Raw genomic sequence first — 20225 nt, 5'->3', positions numbered from 1 at the left:
ACTTATTCCAAAATTGACCACATAGTTGGAAGTAAAGCCCTCCTCAGCAAATGCAAAAGAGCAGAAATTATAACACACTGTTTCTCAGACCACAGTGCAATCAAACTAGAACTCAGGATTAAGAAACTCACTCAGAACCACTCAACTACATGGAAACTGAACAACCTGTTCCTGAATGACTACTGGCTACATAACGAAATGAAGGCAGAATTAAAGATAGTCTTTGAAACCAACGAGAACAAAGACACAACATACCAGAATCTCTGGGACACATTTAAAGCAGTGTGTAGAGGGAAATTTGTAGCACTAAATGCCCACAAGAGAAAGCAGGAAAGATCTAAAATTGACACCCTAACATCAAAATTAAAAGAACTAGAGAAGCAAGAGCAAACACATTCAAAAGCTAGCAGAAGGCAAGAAATAACTAAGATCAGAGCAGAACTGAAGGAGACAGAGACACAAAAAACCCTTAAAAAATCAATGAATCCAGGAGCTCGTTTTTTGAAAAGATCAACAAAATTGATAGACTGCTAGCAAGACTAGTAAAGAAGAAAAGAGAGAAGAATCAAATAGATATAAATGATAAAGGGGATAATAAAAAATGATAAAGGGGATATCACCACTGATGCCACAGAAATACAAACTACCATCAGAGAATACTATAATAAACACCTCTACGCAAATAAACTAGAAAATCTAGAAGAAACGGAAAAATTCCTGGACACATACACCCTCCCAAGACTAAACCAGGAAGAAGTTGAATCTCTGAATAGACGAATAACAGGCTCTAAAATTGAGGCAATAATTAATAGCTTACCAACCAAAAAAAGTCCAGGACGAGACGGATTCACAGCCGAATTCTACCAGGGGTACAAGGAGGAGCTGGTACCATTCCTTCTGAAACTATTCCAATCAATAGAAAAAGAGGGAATCCTCCCTAACTCATTTTATGAGGCCAGCATCATCCTGATAGCAAAACCTGGCAGAGATAGAACAAAAAAAGAGAATTTTAGACCAATATCCCTGATGAACATTGATGCAAAAATCCTCAACAAAATACTGGCAAACCAAATCCAGCAGCACATTAAAAAGCTTATCCACCATGATCAAGTGGGCTTCATCCCTGGGATGCAAGGCTGGTTCAACATATGCAAATCAATAAACGTAATCCAGCATATAAACAGATCCAAAGACAAAAGCCACATGATTATCTCAATAGATGCAGAAAAGGCCTTTGACAAAATTCAGCAGCCCTTCATGCTGAAAACTCTCAATAAATTAGGTATTGATGGGATGTATCTCAAAATAATAAGAGCTATTTATGACAAACCCACAGCCAATATCATACTGAATGGGCAAAAACTGGAAGCATTCCCTTTGAAAACTGGCACAAGACAGGGATGCCACTCCTATTCAACACTCACCACTCCTATTCAACATAGTGTTGTAAGTTCTGGCCAGGGCAATCAGGCAGGAGAAAGAAATAAAGGGTATTCAATTAGGAAAAGAGGAAGTCAAATTGTCCCTGTTTGCAGATGACATGATTGTATATCTAGAAAACCCCATCGTCTCAGCCCAAAATCTCCTTAAGCTAATAAGCATCTTCACCAAAACCTCAGGATATAAAATCAATGTGCAAAAATCACAAGCATTCTTATACACTAATAACAGACAGAGAGCCAAATCATGAGTGAACTCCCATTCACAATTGCTACAAAGAGAATAAAATACCCAGGAATCCAACTTACAAGGGATGTGAAGGACCTCTTCAAGGAGAACTACAAACCACTGCTCAATGAAATAAAAGAGGACACAAACAAATGGAAGAACATTCCATGCTCATGGATAGGAAGAATCAATATCATGAAAATGGCCATACTGCCCAAGGTAATTTATAGATTCAATGCCATCCCCATCAAGCTACCAATGACTTTCTTCACAGGAATTGGAAAAAACTACTTTAAAGTTCATATGGAACCAAAAAAGAGCCCTCATTGCTAAGTCAATCCTAAGCCAAAAGAACAAAGCTGGAGGCATTACACTACCTGGCTATACTACAAAGGCTATACTACAAGGCTGTACTACAAGGCTACAGCAACTATACTGTACTATAGTTACAAGGCTATACTATAGTTACAAGGCTATACTATACTACAAGGCTATACTACAAGGCTATACTATACTACAAACTATACTACAAGGCTACAGTAACCAAAACAGCATGGTACTGGTACCAAAACAGAGATACAGACTAATGGAACAGAACAAACCCCTCAGAAATAATGCCACACATCTACAACCATCTGATCTTTGACAAACGTGACAAAAACAAGAAATGGGGAAAGGATTCCCTATTTAACAAATGGTGCTGGGAAAACTGGCTAGCCATATGTAGAAAGCTGAAACTGGATCCCTTCCTTACACCTTATACAAAAATTAATTCAAGATGGATTAAAGACTTACATGTTAGACCTAAAACCATAAAAACCCTAGAAGAAAACCTAGGCAATACCATTCAGGACATAGGCATGGGCAAGGACTTCATGCCTAAAACACCAAAAGCAATGGTAACAAAAGCCAAAATTGACAAATGGGATCTAATTAAACTAAAGAGCTTCTGCACAGCAAAAGAAACTACCATCAGAGTGAACAGGCAACCTACAGAATGGGAGAAAATTTTTGCAATCTACTCATCTGACAAAGGGCTAATATCCAGAATCTACGAAGAACTCAAACAAATTTACAAGAAAAAAACAAACAACCCCATCAACAAGTGGGCGAAGGACATGAACAGACATTTCTCAAAAGAAGACATTTATGCAGCCAACAGACACATGAAAAAATGCTCACCATCACTGGCCATCAGAGAAATGCAAATCAAAACCACAATGAGATACCATCTCACACCAGTTAGAATGGTGATTATTAAAAAGTCAGGAAACAACAGGTGCTGGAGAGGATGTGGAGAAATAGGAACACTTTTACACTGTTGGTGGGACTATAAACTAGTTCAACCATTGTGGAAGACAGTGTGGTGATTCCTCGGGGATCTAGAACTAGAAATACCATTTGACTCCGCCATCCTATTACGGGGTATATGCCCAAAGGATTATAAGTCATGGTGCTATAAAGACACATGCACATGTATGTTTATTGCGGCACTATTCACAATCGCAAAGACTTGGAAGCAACCCAAATGTCCATCAGTGATAGACTGGATTAAGAAAATGTGGCACATATACACCGTGGAATACTATGCAGCCATAAAAAAGACGAGTTCATGTCCTTTGTAGGGACATGGATGAAGTTGGAAACCATCATTCTCAGCAAACTATTACAAGCACAAAAAACCAAACACCACATGTTCTCAATCATAGGTGGGAATTGAACAATGAGAACACTTGGACACAGGAAGGGTAACATCACACACCGGGGCCTGTTGTGGGGTGGGGGAAGTGGGGAGGGATAGCATTAGGAGATATACCTAATGTAAATGACGAGTTAATGGGTGCAGCACACCAACATGGCACATGTATACATATGTAACTAACCTGCACGTTGTGCACCCTAGAACATAAAGTATAATATATATATATATATATATATATGTGTGTGTGTGTGTGTGTGTGTGTGTGTGTGTGTGTGAAAAGGCCTTTGATAAAATTCAACATCGCTTCATGGTAAAAAACTTTCAATATACTAGGTATTGATGGACCATATCTCAAAATGATAAGAGCTATTTATGACAAACCCACTGCCAATATCATATTGAATGGGCAAAAGCTGGAAACATTCCCTTTGAAAACTGGCAGAAGACAAGGATACCCTCTCACACTACTCCTATTCAACATAGTATTGGAAGTTCTGGCCAGGGCAATCAGGCAAGCAAAAGAAATGAAGGGTATTCAAATAGGGACAGAGGAAGTCTAATTGTCTCTTTTGGCAGACAACATAATTCTGTATTTAGAAAACCCCATCATCTCAGCCCAAAAACTCCTTAGGCTGATAAGCAACTTCATCAAAGTCTCAGGATACAAAATAAATGTGCAAAAATCACAAGCATTCCTTTATACCAGAGCCAAATCGTGAATGAACTCCCATTCACAATTGCTACAAAGAGAATAAAACACCTAGGAATACAGCTAACAAGTAATGTGAAGGACCTCTTCAAGGAGAACTACAAACCACTGCTCAAGGAAATAAAAGAGGGTACCAACAAATGGAAAAAACATTCTATCCTCATGGATCAGAAGAATCAATATCATGAAAATGGCCATATTTCCCAAGGTAATTTATAGATGCAGTGCTATTCCCATCAAACTACCATTGACATTCTTCACAGAAGTAGAAAAAACTACTTTAAATTTCATATGGAATCAAAGAAGACCCCATATAGCCAAGAAAATCCTAAGCAAAAAGAACAAAGTGGAGGCATCACGCTACCTGACTTCAAACTATACAACAAGGCTACAGTAACGTGTACAAACTATACAACAAGACTACAGTAACAAAAACAGCATGGTACTGTTACCAAAACAGACATATAGACCAATGGAACAGAACAGAGACTTCAGAAATAACAATACACATCTACAACCATCTGATCTTCGACAAACCTGACAAAAACAAGCAATGGGGAAAGGATCTCCTATTCAATAAATGGTGCTGGGAAAACTGACCAGCCATACGGAGAAAATTGAAACTGGACCCCTTCCTTACACCTTACACAAAAATTAACTCAAGGTGGCTTAAAGACTTAAATGTAAAACCCAAAACCATAAAAACTCTAGAAGAAAACCTAGGCAATACCATTCAGGACATAGGCATGTGCAAAGATCTCATGATGAAAATTCCAAAAGCATTGCAACAAAAGCCATAATTGACAAATGGGATCTAATTAAACTGAAGAGCTTCTGCAGAGCAAAAGCAACTATCATCAGAGTGAACATGCAACCTACAGAATGGGAGAAAAATTTTGCAATCTACTAATCTGGTAAAGGTCTAATATCAAGAACCTAGAAGGAACTTGAACAAATTTACAAACAAACAAGCAAACAACCCCATCAAAAAGTGGACAAAGGATATGAACAAACACTTCTCAAAAGAAGACATTTATGTGGCCAACAAACGTTATGAAAAAAGTTCACCATTACTGATTATTAGAGAAATGCAAATCAAAACCACAATGAGATACCATCTCATGCCAGTCAGAATGGTGATTATTAAAGTCAAGAAACAATAGATGCTGGAGAGGCTGTGGAGAAATAGGAATGCTTTTACACTGTTGGTGGGAATGTAAATTAGTTCAACCATTGTGGAAGACAGTGTGGTGATTCCTCAAGGATCTAGAACCAGAAATACCATTTGATCCAACAATCGCATTACTGGGTATATACCCAAAGGAATATAAATCATTCTACTATAAAGACACATGCACATGTATGTTTATTGCAGCACTATTTACAATAGCAAAGACATGGAACCAACCCAAATGCCCATCAATGATAGACTGGATAAAGAAAATGTACTACATATACACCATGGAATACTATGCAGTCATAAAAAACAATGAGATCATATCATTTCAGGGACATGGATGAAGCTGGAAGCCATCATCCTCAGCAAGCTAACACAGGAACAGAAAAACAAGCACCACATGTTCTCACTCTTAAGTGGGGGTTGAACTATAGGAACACATGGACACAGGGAGGGGAACAACACAAACCTGGGCCTGTCAGGGGGTAGGGCGCACAGGGAGGGAGAGCATTAGGACAGATAGCTAATGCATGCTCAATTTTAGAGCATCTTAGATGAGATACTTTCTGTTCTAAGGAGTACATATCCTTATAAGAGACAGTCATGTTAACAAATGTAATTGATTATATCATATAAATATTTAGAAAAAGCCACTGATTGTAAAATATATCCATTGTTTACTATGTTTTCTTAAATTATATCACTCAAAAAAGGCATTGTTTCAAGAAAATTCATGTCTTCCTCAAAAGCGTTTGAATTATTCTAGAAATACAAGACACACAACAAATGCTACTTCAATGACTATATCCATGAGCCCCTATATAACTCTATCAATGACTCATAAAATACTTGTTTTGGCATACACTCTAGCCTCTAATTAGAGTATCAGACTGAGACTAAAATATAGAGAACTTGGGTAACAAAATATAGTACTAAATAAAGATCATGGTTTCTACAGTCCTAGGAATAGATAATTCATGAGAGAACAGAAGAAACCTAGTTACTTGCACAGGACTAAAACTAATTTTCCTGACTCAGGCCATTGCCCCTCTTACTGTATTCAGCTGCCTCTTTCAGACTAACTGGAGATTGCTGGAAAATTATCCATTTTTCATTTTACTCTACATATTCATTTCACTAACATGTAAATTCTACGTGATTTTTAGAATTTTTTTGTCACTAAAACAGAATGACATATAGCAAAGTCAGGAAATTTGGGACATAAATGTTCACATAATTATTTATTTCACTTTTTTAGTATTTATGGAAATATTATTCACATAAAAACTAACAAAATATACTAACCTTATGAAATGTCCAGAGATGTCACTTATACCTGTGTTGAGATCTACCTCTAATGCGAGTAAGGAATCCTCATCTATTTTAAGGGGAAAAGCCACTATGGAGGAGAGAATTGATGTTTCTGGGATAAATGGACAATGGAGAAAAAGTAGCCAAGGCCTCTAATCTGAAGTTACAAAGCCCCCAAAGAGTTATCTGATTCATGAATCTCTAAATATCAGTGAAGAGGAGCACACACTACAATTAATCACCTTAACTTGACATTTTCATGTTCTTACTCTCCTTAACTTGACATTTCTATTTTCTATTTCACAAGAAACTAGCATATGACCATCAACTGAGAAAGAAGTATGTAAGAGGCTAGCAGGAAATCTATTTTCAAACCCCTAAATGGTTCTTGAGTTTAGCTCCAAACTGCTTGGCTGAAAACCTGACAGTTTTAATATTAACCTAAGGGCTTAAAAGGTAATTCTTGTCCTTCAGATTGCTTCAAGCATTATTCATAGGAGAATGCTTTCTTAACCCTGACACACTCAGATGGGACATCTCATTTGAGAAGCTGTTTGGAGTCTCTTGATTTAACTTTAACACTTGTATGATTTGTATTGTAGTTCATAAATGTACACAATAAAACAAAAATTTTAATAATTTACCATTTAAGTAAGATGGATGTATAAGGAAGATCTCTGTTTATCCGGTGACTTCAGATACTTCCTCCCTCCTGTCAGTATGATTTATGGGATATTAGCACCTCCATTTAAGAAGTCCTCATTATCAGGTTCTCCTGAACTAATCACACCTCAGAGCATTGGGCTCTTTCTCACCTCTTTAATGAGCTCCTGCTTCTCCCTAGGCATGAAATTGTCATTTCCTCTATGAAATCTTTCTTTCTGTCCCTCAGGAAAAAAACTCTGGAGTTGTACTTTCCTTCTGCTCTCACATCCCATTTTCAGTCAGGAAATCATATGGGCGTTGCATTAATAATATATCTGCCAACCATCTATATTTTATACCTTCACTGCTATGACCTTGGCCTCCCATACCATGTCTCCTGTAGATTACCATCACAACATTCTCTTAATTGGTCTCTCTGCTCTCACTTGTTTCTCCTCCAGTCCATTCTAATGCAACATATCTCATTCTTTTTAAGGCATTATTAGTCAGGCCGTGTCCCTCTCTGCTAAATCACTGCAATGACTCCTCATTTCACTTCATATAAAGATTTAAATTCTAACAATATAAGGCCCCGTGCCTCCTGACCTCCTGCTACTACCTGACTTCCACATTCTACTATGTTCCCCTTGCTATTCCATACCAGACATCCTAGAAATTCTCTGGCCAAGGCAGGCCTGTGTTTTATCTCTTGGCGAGGTATATGATGGGAGCATGGCAGAAGGGTAGTTTTATGACTTATACACACGCTGAAAGTCAAGGTGTTATTAGGCATAAATGGAATTTATTTTTTAAACATGTGGCTCTTAAGTAGGTCTCTTGATGGCATAGATAAGATAGTGGACATGTATAAATACATTTGTTTCAAGTTGGGATTTAGTGAAATTACTTACTAAGTGATCACATGTTTTCACAACACATGTAACTAATTTTATAAGATAATTAATTCAAGAATGTTACCATCCCTCCAGCTCTTTCTACAGAATCATAAAGACAATTCAATCTATTTTCAGGATAAGGGACCCTGCCTTACTATCCTGGGACAAAAGATTTGTATCATAATGAAGATTTAGAGAAAATGACAAGGAAAAAATGAACAAAAAATAATCCCAGGAGTAGTAGTTTGTAAATGTTTTTGAAAGGAACAACGGTGCTATATAGCCATTAGATCAAGGAGAGGACGGCACAAAACAGGTAAAAAGCATTTTGTGGGAGACTTATTTTTCCCTCATGGTGTTTGGGAAAATACAAGTAAAGGATGTTATTAATTTGAAATCTGCACTGTGTCTTCTTTTAACTGGAATACCTCTCTGGGACTGAACCACTTGATTCATATTCTATTATAATCAAATTTTGAAATTTAGATTTTATTATAGTTTCACCAATTTATAGTGACTCTGCAATACACTTGAATATGTGCAAATGCATAATTTGAAAGTGGGAAATGTGCTCAGTTACCCATGAGCTGACAGGACACTCAGCTGGTGAGAAAGCCAAATGCCAGCACATTTCACCTCTGCTTCTACTTATTATCACATGCCCATGTAGCAGTGTGGTCGATGTAATTTGGGGATGGGAAATTCAGTAACTTGATGTATGACAAATATCTAAATACAGTTTTCTCAAGAATGTAAAAACTGTATTTTACTTACAATTATTTCAGTACCTCCAACAACCAAATCAGACTAGTCAGAAAACATACAGATTGCTTTATAATTGGCCAGGATTTGCTGAAGAGCCACATTGGACACTTAGAGGTATAGAATGGTTTCCAATGTAGATGGACCATATCTGAAAAGTTAAAGAGAATTGTTGATATTATCTCAATATTCTTTTAATTTTTATCAAAGCTACATATTTACATAATTTAAAAATTTGAATCATGATCTAAGCCACCATCAGCTCTCATCTGGATTAGTACAAAATGGCCTCTTAACAGATCTCCTTGTTTCCACCATTTTTCTCTGTCAATGCAGCCATCAGGGTGACCATGTTAAAAATGTAAACACTTCATGTCCCTCTTTGCTCTAAGCTCTCCATCTCACACAGAGTAAAGTCCATAGTGCTTTCTAATAAACTGAATTATCCTGCACTGTGTTGCCTCTAGTTCCCTCTCTGATTTCACCTCTGACTCCTCCCTCCTTAGTCAGGCTTCTAGAGCCACACTGGCCACTTAGCATCCTCCCCTTAGTGCTTTGTCCCACTTAAGCCTTTTCAAAGTCTGGTCCCTGGGTCAGTACTGTCAGAATCATCTGGGAACTTATTAGAAATGCAAATTCTCGAGCCCACCTGAGATCTACTGAATTAGTTATTTTGGGGATGGAGCCTGGAAATCTCTGTTTATCAAGCTCTCCAGATAACTGAGATGCAGGCTAAAGTTTCAGAACTGCCTTAATTGTTTCCTCTGCTTAAAATATTTTCCGTCAGTACTTTAGGTGGGGTTCTTTAGAAAACAGAGCTTGAGACAGGGGTTCTTACTAACTGATTTGCTGAGGGAGTGCTCACGGTAAAATCTGTAAGGAAACAAGGGAGAAGGATAAAGAAGGGGAAGAAGCTAAGTCTTAGTGGAATCCCACAGGGAGCTCTGAAGTATGAGTGTTACACCTGGAGAAAAGTCCAGTTTTTGTAGTCCAAAATCAGTCAGTCAACTATTGTGAGCTGCCCTGTGAGAAGATAATAAACTGTCAGACATTACAGAGGTGACGTGCTTTCTATCAGCCAAGGGTGAGCTCAGGAGGAGCATACAGCTGTGATTTCTTAGCAGTCAACACTCGAAGCTGCTGAAAGCTGGCTGCACCAGCCTGTTAAACTGGGTCTGAGCAGGGCACCAATAGGTAGTACTATATCCAGATGCATCCCCGACTCTCTCTTACTCGGATTCTTCTTAATTACTCATAAGATAATGGTTACCTTTAAACAGTGATAATTCTTTCTGACCAAGAAATAAGAATCAAGGCTGAAATATAGTGGAGCATACATGTTTACCTCTGCTCTCTCCAGAAACCATATTCAAAAGAAAATAGCGGAACACTGACTTTTCCTTAGGTCAAATATCATTGTGTTAGTGAGGCCGTCTCTTACCACCCTATCTAAAACAGCAACACCCTGTTCTCCTCCTAATACTTTTTTTTTAGGTCAGGCTTATTGATGAATAAAATTCATATAGTAAAATTTACTAATTTTCTAAGGGTACAGTTCTATAAGTTTTTACAAATGTACAATTGTGTAAATTATTAACAAAGTCAAAAAATGTAAGAGTTACTTTGCCACAAGAAATTCTCTTTTGCCCATTTTCAACCAGATCTCTTCTTATCTCTAGCCTCTGGTAACAATTGAACTTTTTTCTGTTCTATCATTTTGCCTTTTCCAGAATGTTATATAAATGGAATCATGCAGTATGTAGCCCCTTGAGTCTAGCTCTTTTCACTCAGCATAATGCATTTGAGATTTGCCCATGTTATTGCATCTATCAAGACTCCATTCCCTTTTATTGGTAACTAGTATTTCATTGTATGGATGTACCACACTCTGTTTATCACTCACCAGTTGAAATGTATTAGGTTCTTCTCACCCCCTAGTTTTGGCAATTATAAAGAAAGCTGCTATAAACATTTGCCTACAGGAGTTTGTGTAAATTTAAATTTTCATTATTTTTGTGTGTATATGATTGTTGCATCATATGGCGCTATGAATTGAACGTTTGCATTCCCCAAAAATTCATAAGTTGAAGCCTGAATACTCCATGTGACACTATTTGGACGTGGGGCGTTTGTAAGGTAATTAGGTCATGAGAGTAGAATCTTCAGGAATGGATTACTGCCCATTAAGAAGAGACATGAGAAAAATGGTCTCTTTCTGCTCTCCACCATGCGAGGACACAGTAAGAAAATGCCCAAGAGGAAACCATGAAGTGGGCCCACACCAGACCCTGGATCTGCCAGTGCCTGAATCTTGGACTTCCCAGCCTCTAGAACTGTGAGAAATAAATTCTACTGTTTAAGCCACTCAGTTTATAGTATCTTTTATTGCAGCCTGAGCCGACTAAGATATAGGATAAGTGTGTTTTTAACTTTGTAAGAAACTACTCAACAGTTATCCAAAGAACTTGTACTATTTGGTCATCCAAACCAGGAATGTAAGAGAGCTCCAGCTGCTATGCATTCTTACTAACACTTGGTATTGTGAGGTTATTTTTTTTCAGCCATTCTAACAGGTGTGTGGTAGTACTGGTGAGGTCCTTCCCCACATGATTAATGATGTTGAGCATCCTTTTGTGTAGTCCTTTCCCATCTATATATCTTCTTTAGTAAAGTATTTGGTTAAATCTTTCCCATTTTTAGAATTTAAAATTTTAATTTTGAGCCACAGAAAAGTTGCAAAAATAGTTGAGTTTTCTGTTATCTTTGATCTCACTTCTATTAACATCTTTCATAATCATAATAATATAATTATCCAGAACAAGAAATTGTCATTGGTACAGGATCATTAACTAAGCTATACTCCTTATTTGAACTTTTCTAATCTTCCTATTGGAATGTTGTTTATCTGTTCCAGAATCCTATTTTGGATTCCACATTACATTTAATTATTTTTTCCTCTTTAGTACTTTTCAGTCTGTAATAGCTCCTCGTTCTTTCCTTGTTTTTCATAATTTTCACAGTTTTAAATAACACTTCAGTTATTTTGCCGAAGGTCCCTCAATTTAACAAAAAAAAAGTTTTCCCATAATTCAAATGAGGTTATGCATTTGTTAAAGAATGTCTCATTTTTAATTAGTTGTTTGTTTCTTTAAATTGCTGAGGTTTGGGGGTCTTTTAATGATAAATTGTGCAAATATTTCTCCAAGTTTGTTGCTTGTTTTTTTATTTTTTTAGTGTCTTTTCAAAATGCAGAAGTTTTTAATTTTTTTAAATCTAATTTATCCTTTCTTTTCTTTCATAGATCGTGCTTTTTGTATCTTATCTAAATAATCTTTGCCTGACTCAAGATCACAAAGATTTTCTCCCATGTTTTCTATAGAAGTTTTATGCTTTGGGGTTTACATTTAGATTTTTGGCTCTGCAATCCATTTTTGCTTCATGTTTGTGTGATGTATGTGTCAAAGTTTATTTTAAAACATTCCAAAATTGATATTACATATATACTCTTTTTAGAATTCAAGAGGAAAGGTTTTAAGGACCCCAGAAATAGAAAAAAAAACCCAATAAAAATAATGAATTTAACAGTAACTCATGGACAAGGCAATCATCAACCCCCACTCCTTCTCTGTTCCTGCTGTAGGCCATGGGGCCAAAGCCATAACCAATTCTTAGGGATCAAAGCTTGCCAGCAACCAGACAAAAGGGATATGTGTGTGTGTGTGTGTGGCAAGAGGGGGATTTTTCTACTGCATAAACATCAATTTTTAGCAATTATTTTTTCTATTATTTGGCAATTATAAAATCAAAACTTTTATATGTATGAATTAGAAGAAAAAAAACTTTAGATACTATCTATACCAATGTACTCATATTATAGAAAAGTAAATGGAGTCTAGGTGATGCGAAGTGACTTGCCCAGACCATACAGCTGGTTAATGTGTGGGTTACAGCTTTTTTTTTTTTTTTTTTTAGCAGTAGCAAGGTTTATTGTGAAGAGTGAAAGAACAAAGCTTCCACAGCGTGGAAGGGGACCCAAGCGGGTTGCCCGGGTTATATCATTAATATATGCCAATCAGTTCATAAATCTGCGCACTTCCTATCATACCACAGAATACCAGTACCAACAGAAAGCAAGTATCAGCAAAGGCAATTATTTTCTTCTTCCTAATATGTACGCATAGTTAACAAAAATAAATTAAAATCCTGAAGTACAAAACAGTTTGATGTCTTTTCTGGCTGGAACCATGAAGGGTGCTGAAGAGAAGAAAAAGAAGGTTCCTGCTGTGCCAGAAACTTTTAAGAAAGAGCAAAAGAATTTCACAGAGCTGAAGATCAAAATGCCTAAGAAGGAAAATATGCTTCAAAAGGCAAGGAGGAAGCTTATCTATGAAAAAGCTAAGCACTATCACAAGGACTATAGGCAGATGCCCATAACTGAGATTCAAATGGCTAGGCTGGCAAAAAAAGCTGGCAACTGCTATATACTGGCAGAACCCAAATTGGCATTTGTCATCAGGGTCAGAGGTATCAATGGTGTGAGTCCAAAAGGTGTTGCAACTCTTTTGCCTTTGCCAGATTTTCAACAGAAACTTTGTTAAGCTCAAGGCCTCAATGAATATGCTGAGGCTTTAGAACCACATATTGCAGGGGGGTACCCGAACCTGAAGTCAGAAAATAAACTAATATATAAGCATGGTTATGGCAAAATCAGTAAGAAGTGAATTGCCTTGACAGATAACACTTTGATTTCTTGATCTCTTGATAAATCTGGTATCATCTGCATGAAGAATCTGATTCATGAGATCTATACAGCTGGAAAATACTTCAAAGAAGCAAATAACTTCTTATGCCCTTCAAGTTATCTTCTCCACAGAATAAAGAAAAAGGCCACCCATTTGTAGGTGAAAATGCCAGCAACAGGGAAGGCTAGATCAATAGGCTTATTAGAAAGATAAAACAAGGTATCTACCATGATTATTGTTGTAATCTCATCAGTTAATAGACAATGACTGCTTTCAAATTGAAAAAAAAATACCAGCTTGAAAAAAATATCCACATGCAGATTGTACATGCAGATTGGGTGATGCTGACCTAATTATTGAGGTTGATCTGGCTTAAGAGGTTTCCAGGCCCGAAAGCATTATGACAAACTCAACTTTTTCTCATATGTGACAACTGAAGCATGAAAAGTGTAAGATCATCTAGGGAGAGTGCTGTTATCTTTGGAGTTAGCAATAGTCCATTGAGCAACATCAAATTTATTCCAAAGTAGCTTTCATTTGATTCAATCTACTAGTAGAGAGAGTAATTTTGTTGCTTAAAAAATTATTTGATATGACTTGGAAACTGCTATGATTTTTAAAGCTGTTCCCATTTCTTCCTTTATCTCCAGCCCCTCACTCCTTTCTGACACTATCTTTAGAGGAGCTTTCTGAAGCTTCCAGAACTTCTTGCAAAGAATGAGGTACCAGATATATGTTCAATAGTACCAACTAGTTCACTCAGGTGAAGGGAAGCTGTGCACTTAGCATCCTTAATTCCTGTTTTCTCTCTGTACAACCATAGCTTTCCCCTTTCTTCATCATTTCCCTCATGTATTCTCTCCTCTTCACTAATGAGCTCTTCTTTTCCTTCCCTCCTCTCTGTCTTCTCCGTTCTTATGTCAGTGACAAAAACTGATATTTCTGGACCATTGCAGAATGAACAAATAATGCAGTCAAAGGAATACATGGAAAGTAGGAGACGTATTCCTGGTATTTACTTTCTTCTTATTTTAAATATCTTTGATATAATAATTATTATGTAGGCAGATTTACTGAGTGGTTCCTCTGAATTTTTAAAGAATTTTTAAAGCTTCATATTTATTGATTTCTCAAATTATCATTGTCTAATCCTATCTCACCTAACTTCAGGTATCTAATCTCTAGCGACTGCCGTAAGTTATTCTGAGACACCTGTTGAAGGCCTCCATGTTTCTTACTCTGTCATGGCTCAGCCGGGCTTTGAATCACTGATCTGTCTTGTCCCGAGAGCATGTTTGGCATCACCAAGATCCCCTCCTTCAGCAGTCTGGTTTTTGTTTGTTTGTTTTGTTTTTAATTTAGCTTAAATTTTAGGTTTCTTCTTTACAAAATCACAAAGCAGAACTCCATGAAGGGAAGAGAGTGGTGGGGCTATGGGATTAGGGGTTAGTAAAGAGGGGGAAGAGAAAGGCCCAGAAAAGAAGCCACTTACACACTGGGGACCAAGCAGAGACTGAGCACCAGCCCAGCAGGGCCTCCATGTCCTGTTTTCACAGAGCTGGGCCAAAAGGCCTCAGAGAAGGGTTTCAGTCCTCTAGAGACTGTAGCCATTTGACAGAGCAGCTGCAGGCTGTGGCTTCTGGCAAAGCCCCAGGAAGCAGGCTTGCCTCCTCTCTTCATCTCCCCTTCTCCAGGCCAGAGAGCAGGCAGCCTCAGCCTGAGGCAGGGGTTGCGGGATACCCATCCAGCAACTTCAGGATGCTGTAGTGCTCCGTCAGAGTCTTCCAGGCCTGGTCTTTATTGGTGGGCGTCCACTTCTTCTGTAGGCGGCCGTAATCCCATGGAAGTCCTCCTTGTCCTCAGTGCCTGCCTGAGGATCCCCCGCCTCAGCTCCTGCTTTGAGGGCCTCAGCAGGTCGGGCCTCTAGGTGCGGTTAAGGGCGCTCGGCGCCAACTGAGCTCGACCTGGCGTTTGCACAGCCTGTTCACCGAGGATCTTATGCTTTGAGCCTGCTTCCTAATGGTCTGAGCTCAGATTCCAGTCGGCCCTGGGGGATCAGCCTCTCCCTGACGCAGGCCAGGGACTTTTATGAGGACCCTGAAGGGCTTGTTCTAACTGCTGAGATAGGTGAAGTGCCTTCAGCCTGGGAGGCTTTCCCCGCGGGGTCACTAACAGGAAAGTCCTCTGCAAGGAAACAGTGTTTTCCCAGGGGAAAACAGGCAAATGGAAATAAAATTCTAGTTTTATTTGTGGCTGGAGATTTGTCTATGTTTTTGTATGCATTAGCTGTTTAATCACTGTCATTATTCTACAAGAGTATTCCATTGTGAGAACACACCAAAACTTATGTATCCATTTTATTGTTTTTGCTTGTTTTTGTTTCTTTTTTGTAGAGATGGGGTCTTGCTATGTTGCCCAAGCTGGTCTCCGATTTATAGCCTCATGCGATCCTCCCACCTTGGCTTCCCAAAGTGTTGGAGTTACAGGCCTGAGCCATGGGGCCAGGCCTCCATTTTATTGTTGATAACATTTGGTTTATTTCCATTTTGGGATATTGTGAATAATGTTGCTCTGAACATTCTGTATATTCCTAGGAATTTAATTGCTAAGTCACATAGTAGATATATGTTTAGCTTTAGTAGATATTTCCAGGCCACTCTCCAAATGATTGTGCCATTTTACAGCAGTGTTTAAGAGTTTTGTTTTTCTGTATGTTGACCAAGTTTGTATTGTCAATCATTTTTCTTTGGGCCATTCTAGTATGTATGTTAGGGTATTTCTTTCTGTTTTTTTTTTTTTTTTTTTTTTTTGAGGTGGAGTCTCACACTGTTGCTGGAGCTGGAGTGCAGTGGCACAATCTTGGCTCACTGCAACCTCTGCCTCACAGGTTCAAGTGATTCCCCTGCCCCACCCTCCCAAAGCAGTGGCACAATCTTGGCTCACTGCAATCTCCACCTCACAGGTTCAAGTGATTCTCCTGCCCCACCCTCCCAAGTAGCTGGGATTACAGGTGCCTGCCACCACGTCTGGCTAATTTTTTGTATTTTTAGTAGAGACAGGGGTCTGTTAGGGTATTTCTATGATCCCTGATGGCTAATGAGGTTGAACATCTTTTTCTGTTTATCAGAGAGATTTGAATTTCTTCTCTTGCAAAGTACCTATTCAAGTCTTTTGCTCATTTCTAAATTTGCTTGTCTGTATTTTTAAAATCAATTTGTAGAAATTCTTTGTATATTACAATCCCTTTGAAGTTCCTGATTTTAATATAATTCAATTTACCAGCCTTTTCCTTTAGGATCATGCTTTGTGTGCTCTGTTTAAGAAATCTTTGCTTACTCTAAGTTCTTGAAAATATTATGTTTTCCTCTAGAAGCTTTATTGTTTTGCCTTTTACATTAAGATCAGCACTTCACCTGAATTATTGTTATAGTGTACAAAACAGGATATAAGATATACATAATGTATGTAATCTCTAATTGTTTTATTGTAAACCCCAAAGTTTTCCCCATATGGCACTGTCATTTTATCAAATCAGATGACCATACATGTATGACTCTGCTTCTAGACTCTCTAGTTTATTTCGTTAGCATATTTTTCTATCCTTGCAAAAATCTTTCACTGTCTTAAGTACTGTAATTTTATAATTCTTGATATTTAATAGGGTAAATCCTCCAATATTAATACTTTTGAAAACAATTTTCTTCACTATTTTTTACCACTAGCAATTCTATATAAAATTTAGATTCAACTTATAACTTTTTTACAAAAAAGGATTTTAATTGGGATTGTATTAATTGTATAGTTCAATTTGGGTAAAACTGATATCAACAATACCAAGTCTTCAATCATGAACATCTATAGTTCTCCTCACAGTTTGATTGTTTTAATGTTTCAAAATAGTATTTTAATACACAGGTTTGACACATTTTTTGCTAGGTTTATTTCAAGGTATTTCATACTTCTGATGCTACTGTAAATGTTTTTAATTTTTTAAAATGTTTATTCTTTAACTTTTGATTATGGAAAATTTAACAGAGGTACAAAGTAGAGAAAAATAATACAATGAATCCCAACCTACTTATCAGCTACCTTCAGCAGTCATCAATTCATGGCTAATTTTGTTTAATCTATACCTCAGACTTTCTCCCCTGCACTGAATTATTTTGAAGCAAATCTAAAATATATATTTTCTTTTGTAAATATTTCACCATACATCTCTAAAAGGATTTCTTAAAACAACACAACTATACTTCTGAAATATTATTACTAAAATATTTTTAACATTTAATATCATCAAATAACCAATTATCGTTCAAATTTTTTAAACTACCTCATGCTTTTCTCTCCCACAGTTTTGTGCTTAAGATCCAAATAAGAGTCACATGTTGCCTTTTGTTTCCATTTTGTGAATTTAATCCATTGATGCCTTTTCCTCTTTAAGTATTTTTTCTAATTTTTAAACTAAAAACATTATACAGTAAAACTGACTTTTAAAAATTTGGTGTACAGTTTATACATTTTTAACATATTTTTATATAATTTTTACATATATATGTAACATATATAAGATACATATATATACACATATATACATATATATATACACACATATATATATATACACACACACACACACATATATATATATATATATATATATATATATACACACACACATATATATATATATATATCAGGATGCCTTTAGTTTCATCACCAGGAAGATCTCCCTTATGCTATCCCCAGTCATACTTCTTTTCCTACTCCCTGGCAATCACTAATCTGCTTTCTATCACTGCTGTGTTCTCTTTCTGAGAATGTCATATAAATGGAATCTTAGAGATTCATCAGTTGATTGTGTTTATCAATTGTGCATTCTCTTTCCTTGCTAAGTGAGATTCCATTGCACCCTCATTACCCTCTTCCCTATACACTCTCCATCAAATCATGTATACAACCAGTGAAAAATAACTCAATCTCTTTTTACCTTTTTTTCATTCCCCGCCTCCCCATCTCTCATATATGCTACCTTCTGTTCTCTACAACCACTTAGCATTCACTGGGTAAACCTGTGATCTGACATAAGCACTGGGAGTCATATGTTATGCTTATTTATCTTCAGGAATAGTTACAATAGTTCCCGCCTGGAGAAGACACTTATATTTCACCTAGGCCCCTATTCTTCCCTTTGTCACCTATAGGTCTCTTAGAAAACTAGAAAACATGCTAAGTTTTTTTGTGGAATGATGCCTGCTATTGCCCCGAAGAAACAAGATCTTTTTCTATACCAGCTAAATCCTCTGCCCACTGCCCCTCCACCACCCTGCAACTACGCTAGCTTCTAAAAACATCCAATTTTGATTACCACATAAATATTGAATATTCCACTGTGGTCTGAGAGAGTACTTGATATAATTTCAGTTTTCTTACATTTACTGAGACTTGTTTTGTGGCCTATCATATGGTCTATCTTGAAGAATGTTCCATGTGCTGATGAATACAGTGTATATTCTTCAGTTGTTGGGTAGAATATTCTGTAAATATCTGTTAAATACGTTTGTCATAGGGTATAGTTTAGGTCCATTGTTTCTTTGTTGATTTTCTGTCTTGATGACCTATCTAGTGCTGTCAGTTGAGTATTAAAGTTCCCCATTATTATTGTGTTGCCATCTCTCTCATTTCTTAGGTCTAGTCGTAATTGTTTCATAAATTTGGGATCTCCAGTGTAAGGTGCGTATATATTTAGAATTGTGATATTTTCCTGTTGGAATGGGCCTTTTATCATTATATAATGTCTCTCTTTGTCTTTTTTAACTGCTGTTGCTTTAAAGTTTGTTTTGTCTGACATAAAAATCCTACTCCTGCTAGCTTTTGGTGTCCATTTGCATGGAATATCTTTTTCCACTGCTTTACCTTGAGTTTCTGTGAGATCTTATGTGTTATGTTAGGTGAGTCCCCTGAAGACAGGAGAAATTTGGTTGGTGAGTTCTTACCCATTCTGCCATTCTGTATCTTTTAAGTGGAGCATTCAGGCCATTTACATTCAATGTTATGAATGTAAATGAATACCTTGTTTTTTATTCATTGTGTTATTATTATACAGGTCCTGTGAGATTTATGCTTTAAGGAGGTTCTATTTTGGTGTATTCAAAGGATTTGTTTCAAGATTTAGAGCTCCTTTTAGCAGTTCTTGTAGTGCTGGTTTGGTAGTGACAGATTCTCTCAGCATTTGTCTGGAAAAGACTGTATCTTTCCTTCATTTATGAAGCTTAGTTTTGCTGGATACAAAATTCTTAGGTGATAATTGTTTTGTGTAAGGAGGCTAAAAATAGGTCTCCAATCCTTTCTAGCTTGTAGGGTTTCTGCCGAGACACCTGCTGTTAATCTGATAGGTTTTCCTTAATAGGTTATGTGATGCTTTTACCTCACAGCTCTTAAGATTCTTTCCTTTGTCTTGACTTTAGATAACCTGATGACTATGTGCCTAGGCAATGATCTTTTTGCAATTAATTTCCCAGTTGTTCTTTGACCTTCTTGTATTTGGATGTCTAGATCTCTAGCAAGGCTGAATAAGTTTTCCTTGATTATTCCCCCAAATATGTTTTCCAAACTT

General features: G+C 37.1%; 1 protein-coding gene and 1 pseudogene across 2 annotated transcripts in view; one reads left to right on the top strand and one right to left on the bottom strand.

Moving 5' to 3' along the window:
* Positions 1-8865: 8865 nt before the first annotated feature.
* The window catches only part of LIPJ (lipase family member J), a 40278-nt gene continuing 28918 nt past the window's right edge, over positions 8866-20225 (bottom strand). Inside the window, exon 12 of one of the 2 annotated variants that reach the window (XM_047424642.1) lies at positions 8866-9021. In XM_047424642.1, coding sequence (XP_047280598.1) covers positions 8885-9021 — 137 coding nt within the window. In that variant the 3' untranslated portion in view covers positions 8866-8884. The remainder of the gene's footprint in view (positions 9022-20225) is intronic. The other variant, XM_047424643.1, reaches the window with a different exon arrangement.
* On the top strand, positions 13099-13668 carry RPL7P34 (ribosomal protein L7 pseudogene 34; annotated as a pseudogene).

This window comes from Homo sapiens, chromosome 10, assembly GCF_000001405.40.
Source record: "Homo sapiens chromosome 10, GRCh38.p14 Primary Assembly".
Lineage (NCBI taxonomy): Eukaryota > Metazoa > Chordata > Mammalia > Primates > Hominidae > Homo > Homo sapiens.
Note: the sequence above shows the minus strand (reverse complement) of the source record. Positions and strands in the feature narration are given on the sequence as shown.